The 10,384-nt window shown below is 41.2% G+C and overlaps 1 annotated feature.

Annotated features, from left to right (window-relative positions):
* Window positions 4,189-4,688: an enhancer, noted in NCBI's record as "H3K4me1 hESC enhancer chr3:136930163-136930662 (GRCh37/hg19 assembly coordinates)". NCBI's record gives its function as "activates a minimal SCP1, AML or CMV promoter by ChIP-STARR-seq in primed H9 embryonic stem cells {active_cell/tissue: H9 hESC(primed)}" and the evidence as "EXISTENCE:reporter gene assay evidence [ECO:0000049][PMID:30033119]".

Genomic DNA, 10,384 nt, shown 5'->3' on the forward strand with positions numbered 1-10,384 from the left:
AAAACAGCCAGCAAAGTCTTTTTACTCTTGGCTCTGGCCTTCAGATAGCCTTTCTCCAACAATGCAAGGAGTACATAGCTTTTTCCAAACACCACTTCCACAGTGGTAACCCGGTCAGAAGACTTTTCTTGGTAGCAGCATCAAAAATGGGGTCCGAATCTTGAGTGAAGAGAACGGCTCATTCAGATTGCCAAAAATATGAACAAGTAACCTGTCATGAAATGAACTCTTTTTTGTCAAATTATTCTGAGTACAGGCTTTGCGAATCACTTGAGAGAGGTATGGGATTCTGCCTGAAGTCAATCAATCGCTTCAAAACTTGTAGTTTAGAAAACCAGTGAACTTCAGCACTATTTCTTGACAAATCCTGTTGATAAAGTATAATTCAAGGCCCTGACTCTAAGTTGAAGTGGACATGACTTATTTTAGAATTATTGCCCATATCACATGAATGTACAAAACAATGTCTGTGTGAAGTGTGGAGTTTCTTTCTAACAAAAATGATAAAGTGGGATGCTTTGTGGAACAGCAATGTGCTCCATCTGTACCCATGGCACCAACATTTTTTGTTCAAGGTTTTCCCTGGCAGAGATATTTTTATGATTCCAAAGGCATCCCATTAAGTATATGATACTTCCAAAGAGGGCTCACCAAATGGGCATCAGTATGTATGTGACAGGAAAATGAAGAACTGGCACACTGAAAACTGGCAATACATTCATTCAGTTGCATGCTGAAGGGAACTTACTTGGCTCAAGTATCCCTGAGACCTTCTTTAAAAGGAGAAAAAGCTGGCAACTCTGGATAGGGTAACACTTCTTATTTTATTTTATTTTTTTGACGGAGTCTCACTCTGTCTCCAGGCTGGAGTGCAGTGGTATGATCTTGGCTCACTGCAACCTCCGACTGCCAGGTTCAAGCGATTCTCCTGCCTCAGCATCCTGAGTACCTGGGACTACAGATGCGCGCCACTAGAGCCAACTAATTTTTGTATTTTTAGTAGAGACAGGGTTTCACCATGTTGGTCAGAATGGTCTCGATCTCTTGAACTCGCGATCAGCCTGCCTTGGCCTCCCAAAGTGCTGAGATTACAGGCATGAGCCACCACGCCTGGCCCAGGTAATACTTCTTGACAGAGGCACTGATTTAGCATCATTTCTCCTCCCAGAGTACAAACACACTTGACTGCTTTAGGGCGGATGGCTCCAAGGTCTGCCCAGTCCCAAGGCTTCTTTTGCTTGGCTATAGGATGAGCATTGTTGCAGGATGCTCTAGGTTCAGGCTGTTGAGTTGGTGCAATTTTCTGTAGTTTTGATAAAATTTCGCTTTTTTCAGTTCAGCCATCTTCTCATGAAAATTATCTATTCTTAACCAGGCATTTGGCAATGGACTTGCTGCGCAATAGGGACCATGTTTTTGATGTTCATCACATTTGGGATGAAACCAAAAGAAACAAACTTTCTTCTACTTGATTTTCCTCAATGTTTTCCTACTTAAGCTAGCCCATGTACTAAAAGATTCATGCCTATAATCATAATGTTAGCTTACATCTAAAAAAAATATGTCAGAGGAAAACACTTTCATGGTGATGACTTTGCTACCTGACAATGTATAGTAACATCCCATGGCACTCTGCACTTGCGCAGTAGGAAACAATTCCTTAAAAACAAAATTCAACAAAAATTTATATTTTCACAGAGACAATTTTCAAGCTATTAAGAAAGATCTCAAATATGACAAATTTTTCCCCACTTTGCTGACTTCTTAAAATCCATTCAAAGACTCATGAACTCTTTTTTTTTTTTTTTTATGGAGTCTCACTATGTCACCAGGCTGGAGTACAGTGGCACAATCTTGGCTCACTGCAACCTCCGCCTCCCAGGTTCAAGCGATTCTCCTGCCTTAGTCTCCCAAGTAGCTGGGACTATAGGCATGCACCACCACACCCAGCTAATTTTTGTATTTTTAGTAGAGATGGGGTTTCACCATGTTGGCCAGGATGGTCTCAATCTCTTGACCTTGTGATCTGCCTGCCTTGGCCTCCCAAAGTGTTGGGATTACAGGCGTGAGCCACTGTGCCTGGCCTCATGAACTGTTAATCCAGAGAAAGACCTATTTTGCTGATAAAATTCTTTATTTTTATTTTTATTTTTTTTTGAGACAGAGTTTCACTCTTGTCGCCCAGGCTGGAGTGCAATGGTGTAACCTCAGCTCAAACTGCAACCTCTGCCTCCCAGGTTCAAGCAATTCTCCTCCCTTAGCCTCTTGTATCTCTTGCTGAGAAAATTCTGAAAAGGTTGAAACTAAAACAAGTGAGAATAGTATACTGCTTCCATCATTGTTTAAACAAAACCCAGGAACTCGCTAATAGCCCCCCAAAGTAAATAAGTTGGTCCATCTAATCATTTAGCCATTCTGCTCCTAAAAAGTCTCCCATGGAAGTATGTGCATACCTGTATGATATATTTTCTAGGTTCAGTTGAATTTTAACCTGATTCTTCAACTAAATTGGGAGCTCCCTGAAGGCAGGACAATATTTTTATAATTTCAGGATAAATATATTGTGTGGTACTTGGCACATAGCTCTTGCAAATGCTTGAGGAGTGAATAACCATCAGTTATTTTCAAATTAATCATTTAATAATATAGTTTAGGTCCTCCTAGGATACATAATTCATCACCAATACTTGATACATCTGACAATTATAAGCTACACTTGCCATTGGCCTTGGGTCTAGGGTTAATTAGTCTTGCCACTTTTGATAGACTTTCTAATAAGGGCCCCAATTCCTCTTATGAAGGATAACCAGGGTAGTCATGTATGGTGCCTAATGAGGAGACAGTTGTTAAATATGTAGGCATTTTTGCCACTCTGCTAGGGTTCAAAGGGGATGGGGTCTTGCCAAGTCCAGAATATCAGGGGAGATTTGATCTTCAGTGCCCTAGTTGCTACTGAGATGCTCATAGCCCAAACCCTTGTGGTTTCTTGAATGTGGATTTCAAAGTTGCTCTTATGCCGTACTTGGTAAAGAGTCTTCTACATAAAGACACCTCAGTCCTAACCAACCTATTTCTGCTCTGCCTGGAGGCAGGGCCAGGTTCTAACACCAAGGGCAGGCACCTGGGCTGAGGCTGTCAGCAACCCCCAGGACCAATGGGGTGTTCTGACCCAGGTCCATGGGAGCAATCACACAAACATGAAAGGCTCCTCTTTGAGTCTGCTTTCTCTTTGGGTCTAACCATTAATGTTTTCATCACTTTTTCCACCTGCCTGATATAGCATCTTTTCATCATTTTATCAATGACTATCATGCTAACATATTATTCTAAGAAACCCTTACAACGTGAAGAGATGTGACTTTTGGAAAATGTGCTGAGGGGAGCATCCTGTCCCTAGCCCCACCTTGAGTGAGTGCTCTGGCTGCTCTTTCTTTCCACCCCCAGGGGCAGGAGCTTCTTTCCCCCTTGTCCCTTCCTTGAAGCTCTCTTGAAAGAGCTTCAACTTTCAAGACAGAATCTAGGAGGAGGACCTTTTCAGTCAACTTCAGCTTTCTGCCCTATAATACAAACACCCCTGAGAGAAGGGAACACAAAAACTAGGCCTTCTCTGAAATGAGGAGGGGAAGTTACAATGAGAACCAGTTACAGATTAATTGAGCAACTATTTTCCAGCCACACACTCTTGTTGAATTTCCTTAATTGGATGTCAGATATTCCAAGAAGTCCAAAATCTCAGGAATCATACAGTGTAAGACCCATACTATACATCTCCACATCAGGAATCTTTGTAAGTATTTTCTTTTTTCCTACAACTTAAATATGTTTGGATTAAATAGTATTAGAAAGTATTCCCATTCTATTTGAAATGCTGCTAAAGAAAAATATGGTGGGGGAGGGTATGTTCCAAGATGGCCGAATAGGAACAGCTCTGACCTGCAGCTCCTAGCGTGATCGACGCAGAAGAGGGGTGATTTCTCCATTTCCAACTGAGGTACCTGGTTCATCTCATTGGGACCAGTTGGACAGTGGGTGCAGCCCATGGAGGGCAAGCTGAAGCAGGGCAGGGCATCGCCTTACCCGGGAAGTGTAAGGGGTCAGGGGATGTCCCTTTCCTAACCAAGGGAAGCCATGACAGACTACCCAGAAAAATGGGTCGCTCCCGCCCAAATGCTGCACTTTTCGCAAAGTCTTAGCAACTGGCAGACAAGGTGATTCTCTCCTGTGCCTGGCTCAGTGGGTGCCACGCCCATGGAGCCTTGCTCACTGTTGGTGCAGCAGTCTGAAATCAATCTGCAAGGCAGCAACCTGGCTGAGGGAGGGGCATCTGCCATTGCTGAGGCTTGAATAGGTAAACAGAGCAGCCGGGAAACTCAAACTGGGCAGAGCCCACCACAGCTCAACAAGTCCTACTGCCTCTAGACTCTACCTCGGTGGGCAGGGCATAGCTGAACCAAAGGCAGCAGACAACTTCTGCAGACTTAAACTTTCCTGTCTGACAGCTCGGAAGAGAGCAGTGATTCTCCCAGCATGGCATTTAAACTCTGAGAACAGACAGACTGCCTCCTCAAGTGGGTCCCTGACCCTCCTGTAGCCTAACTGGGAGACACCTCGCTGTAGGGGCCGACAGACACCTCATATAGGTGGCTGCCCCTCTGGGACGAAGCTTCCAGAGGAAGGATCAGGCAGCAATATTTCCTTTTCTGCAGTATTTGCTGTTCTGCAGCTTCCACTGGTGGTACCCAGGCAAACAGGGTCTGGAGTGGACCTCCAGCAAACTCCAACAGACCTGCAGCCCAGGGACCTGAGTGTTAGAAGAAAAACTAACTATCAGAAAGGAGTAGCATCAACATCAACAAAAAGGTCATCTACACAAAAACCCCATCTGTAGGTCACCAACATCAAAGACCAAAGGTAGATAAAAACCACAAAGATGGGGAGAAACCAGAGCAGAAAAGCTGAAAATTCCAAAAATCAGAGCGCCTCTTCTCCTCCAAAGGATTGCAACTTCTCGCCAGCAATGGAACAAATCTGGACGGAGAATGACTTTGACGAGTTGACAGAAGTTGGCTTCAGAAGGTCAGTAATAACAAACTTCTCTGAGCTAAAGGAGGATGTTCAAACCCATTGCAAGAAGCTAAAAACCTTGAAAAAAGATTAGATGAATGGCTAACTAGAATAAACCGTGTAGAGAAGACCTGAAATGACCTGACATAGCTGAAAACTATGGCACGAGAACTTTGCAATGCATGCACAAGCTTCAATAGCTGATTCGATCAAGTGGAAGAAAGGGTATCAGTGATTGAAGATCAAATTAATGAAATGAAGCGAGAAGACAAAGTTTGAGAAAAAAGAGTGAAAAGAAATGAACAAAGCATCCAAGAAACATGGGACTATGTGAAAAGACCAAATCTATGTTTGATTGGTGTATCTGAAAGTGACAGGGAGAATGGAACCAAGTTACAAAATACTCTTCAGGATATTATCCAGGAGAACTTCCCCAACCTAGCAAGGCAGGCCAATATTCAAATTCAGGAAATACAGAGAACACCACAAAGATACTCCTTGAGAAGAGCAACCCCAAGACACATAATTGTCAGATTCACCAAGGTTGAAATGAAGGAAAAAGTGTTAAGGGCAGCCAGAGAGAAAGGTCGAGTTACCCACAAAGGGAAGCCCATCAGACTAACAGCGGATCTCTTGGCAGAAACCCTACAAGCCAGAAGAGAGTGGGGACCAATATTTAATATTCTTAAAGAAAAGAATTTTCAACTCAGAATTTCATATCCAGCCAAACTAAGCTTCATAAGTGAAGGAGAAATAAAATCCTTTACAGACAAGCAAACGCTGAGAGATTTTGTCACCACCAGGCCTGCCTTACAAGAGCTCCTGAAGGAAGCACTAAGCATGGAAATAAACAACTGGTACCAGCCATTGCAAAAACATGCCAAATTGTAGACTATCGATGCTATGAAGAAACTGCATCAATTAACAGGCAAAATAACCAGTGGACATCATAATGACAGGATCAAATTCACACATAACAATATTAACCTTACATGTAAATGGGCTAAATGCCCCAATTAAAAGACACAGACTGGCAAATTGGATAGAGTCAAGACCCATCAGTGTGCTGTATTCAGGGAACCCATCTCACATGCAAAGACACACATAGGCTAAAAATAAAGGGATGGAAGATCTACCAAGCAAATGGAAAGCAAAAAAAAAAAAAGCAGAGGTTGCAATCCTAGTCTCTGATAAAACAGACTTTAAACCAACAAAGATCAAAAGAGACAAAGAAGGCCATTACATAATGGTAAAGGGATCAATTCAACAAGAAGAGCTAACTATCCTAAATATATATGCACCCAATACAGGAGCACCCAGATTCATAAAGCAAGTCCTTAGAGACCTACAAAGAGGCTTAGACTCCCACACAATAATAATGGGAGACTTTAACACCCCACTGTCAATATTAGACAGATCAACGAGATAGAAGGTTAACAAGGATATGCAGGACCTGAACTCAGCTCTGCAACAAGCAGACCTAATAGACATCTACAGAACTCTCCACCCCAAATCAACAGAATACACATTCTTCTCAGCACCACATTGCACTTATTGTAAACAATTGACCACATAATTGGAAGTAAAGCACGCCTCAGCAAATGCAAAAGAAAAGAAATCACAACAAATTGTCTCTCAGACCACAGTGCAATCAAATTAGAACTCAGGATTAAGAAACTCACTCAAAACCACACAACTACATGGAAACTGAACAACCTGCTCCTGAATGACTACTGGGTACATAACGAAATGAAAGCAGAAATAAAGATGTTCTTTGAAACCAATGAGAACAAAAGCACAACATGCCAGAATCTCTGGGACACATTTAAAGCAGTGTGTAGAGGAAAATTTATAGCACTAAATGCCCACAAGAGAAAGCAGGAAAGATCTAAAATCGACACCCTAACATCACAATTAAAAGAACTAGAGAAGCAAGAGCAAACAAATTCAAAAGCTAGCAGAAGGCAAGAAATAACCAAGATCAGAGCAGAACTAAGTGAAAGAGATAGAGGCACAAAAAACCCTTAAAAAAAATCAATGACTCCAGGACCTGGTTTTTTGAAAAGATCAACAAAATTGATAGACCACTAGAAAGACTAATAAAGAAGAAAAGAGAGAAGAATCAAATAGATGCAATAAAAAATGATAAAGGGGATATCACCACCAATCCTACGGAAATACAAACTACCATCAGAGAATACTATAAACACCTCTACGCAAATAAACTAGAAAGTCTAAAAGAAATGGATAAATTCCTCAACACATACATCCTCACAAGACTAAACCAGGAAGAAGTTGAATCTCTGAATCGACTAATAACAGGCTCTGAAATTGAGGCAATAATTAATAGCCTATCAACAAAAAAAGTCCAGGACCAGACGGATTCACAGTTGAATTCTACCAGAGGTACAAAGAGGAGGTGGTATCATTCCTTCTGAAACTATTCCAATCAATAGAAAAAGAGGGAATCCTCCCTAACTCATTTTATGAGGCCAACATCATCCTGATACCAAAGCCTGGCAGAGACACAACAAAAAAAGAGAATTTTAGACCAATATCCCTGATGAACATCGATGTGAAAATCCTCAATAAAATACTGGCAAACCGAATCCAGCAGCACATCAAAAAGCTTATCCACCATGATCATCCCTGGGATGCAAGGCTGGTTCAACATACGCAAACCAATAAACCTAATCCATCACATAAACAGAACTAATGACAGAAACGACATGATTATCTCAATAGACGCAGAAAAGGCCTTCGACAAAATTCAACAGCCCTTCATGCTAAAAACTCTCAATAAACTAGGTATTGATGAAACATATCTCAGAATAATAAGAGCTATTTATGACAAACCCACAGCCAATTTCATACTGAATGGACAAAAACTGGAAGCATTTCCTTTGAAAATCAGCATAAGACAAGGATGCCCTCTCTCACCACTCCTGTTCAATGTAATGTTGGAACTTCTGGCCAGGGCAATCAGGCAAGAGAAAGAAATAAAAGGTATTCAATTAGGAAAAGAGGAAGTCAAAGTGTCCCTGTTTGCAGATGACATGATTGTATATTTAGAACACCCCATTGTCTCGGTCCAAAATCTCCTTAAGCTGATAAGCAACTTCAGCAAAGTCTCAGGATGCAAAATCAACGTGCAAAAATCACGAGCGTTCTTATACACCATTAACAGAGAGCCAAATAATGAGTGAATTCCTATTCACAATTGCTACAAAGGGAATAAAATACCTAGGAATACAACTTACAAGGGATGTGAAGGACCTCTTAAAGGAGAACTACAAACCACTGCTCAATGAAATAAAAGAGGACACAAACAAATGGAAGAATATTCTATGCTCATGGATAGGAAGAATCAATATTGTGAAAATAGCCATACTGCCCAAGGTAATTTATAGATTCAATGCCATCCCCATCAAGCTACCAGTAACTTTCTTCATAGAATTGGAAAAAACTATTTTAAAGTTCACATGGAACCAAAAAGGAGCCTGCATTGCCAAGACAGTCCAAAGCAAAAAGAACAAAGCTGGAGGCATCATGCTACCTGACTTCAAACTATACCACAAGGCTACAGTAACCAAAACAGCATGGTACTGGTACCAAAACAGAGATATAGACCAACGAAACAGAACAGAGGCCTCAGAAATAACATCGCACATCTAGAACCATCTGATCTTTGACAAACCTGAGAAAAACAAGCAACGGGGAAAGGATTCCCTATTTAATAAATGGTGCTGGGAAAACTGGCTAGCCATATGTAGAAAGCTGAAACTGGATCTCTTCCTTACACCTTATACAAAAATTAATTCAAGATGGAGTAAAGACTTAAATGTTAGACCTAAAACCATAAAAACCCTAGAAGAAAACCTAGGCAATACCATTCAGGACATAGGCATGGGCAAGGACTTTATGACTAGAACACCAGAAGCAATGGCAGCAAAAGCCAAAATTGACAAATGGGATCTAATTAAACTGAAGAGCTTCTGCACAGCAAAAGAAACTACAATCAGAGTGAACAGGCAACCTACAGAATGGGAGAAAATTTTTGCAATCTACCCATCTGACAAAGGGCTAATATCCAGAATCTACAATGAACTCAAACAAATTTACAAGAAAAAACAACCCCACCAAAAGGGGGCAAAGGATATGAACAGACACTTCTCAAAAGAAGACATCTATGCAGCCAACAGACACATGAAAAAATGCTCATCATCACTGGCCATCAGAGAAATGCAAATCAAAACCACAATGAGATACCATCTCACACCAGTTAGAATGGCAATCGTTAAAAAGTCAGGAAACAACAGATGCTGGAGAGGATGTGGAGAAAAAGGAATGCTTTTACACTGTTGGTGGGAGTGTAAATTCATTCAACCATTGTGGAAGACAGTGTGGCAATTCCTCAAGGATCTAGAACTAGAATTACTTTTTGACCTAGCAATCCCATTACTGGCTATATACCGAAAGGATTGTAAATCATGCTACTATAAAGACACATGCACACGTATGTTTATTGTGGCACTATTCACAATAGCAAAGACTTGGAACCAACCCAAATGTCCATCAATGATAGACTGGATTAACAAAATGTGGCACATATACACCATGGAATACTATGAAGCCATAAGAAAGGATGAGTTCATGTCCTTTGCAGGGACGTGGATGAAGCTGGAAACCATCATTCTCAGCAAACTATCACAAGGACAGAAAACCAAACACCACATTTTTTCACTCATCGTTGGGAATTGGACAATGAGATCACTTGGACAGTGTGGGGAACATCACAGACTGGGGCCTGTCGGGGGGGTGTGGCGCTGGGGGAGGGACAGCATTAGGAAAAATACCTAATGTAAATGATGAGTTGATGGGTGCAGCAAACCACCATGGCACATGTATACCTATGTATCAAACCTGCACGTTGTGCACGTGTACCCTAGAACTTAAAGTATAATAATAAAGAAAAATATAAAGCATTGATGGAAAGGCAGCTGCTAACTCCTCTAAAATGTAACTTCTGGAGTCCTGTCTGATTTGTTCTAATTTTGGTTACTAAATAATTGACAATGTTCTGGATCATAATCCTAAACCTTCATCCAAAACATACACAAATATTTCATTCTTTTAAAAGCAAGTCATGCTGGCTATATTTTAACCAGAAAAGGTGTAGCCACTTTAAATATTTTTTTGCTGTTCCTTTAAGTGTTTGAAAGGATGCATGTTTTTCTCTAATTTCCATGAATTCCTGTGGGATGGACTGTCTCAGCCATCAGGAGCTAGATCTTGGCTGCAGACTGCAGTCCATGACAAG

This window comes from Homo sapiens, chromosome 3 (assembly GCF_000001405.40).
Source record: "Homo sapiens chromosome 3, GRCh38.p14 Primary Assembly".
In the NCBI taxonomy this organism is placed as follows: Eukaryota; Metazoa; Chordata; class Mammalia; order Primates; family Hominidae; genus Homo; species Homo sapiens.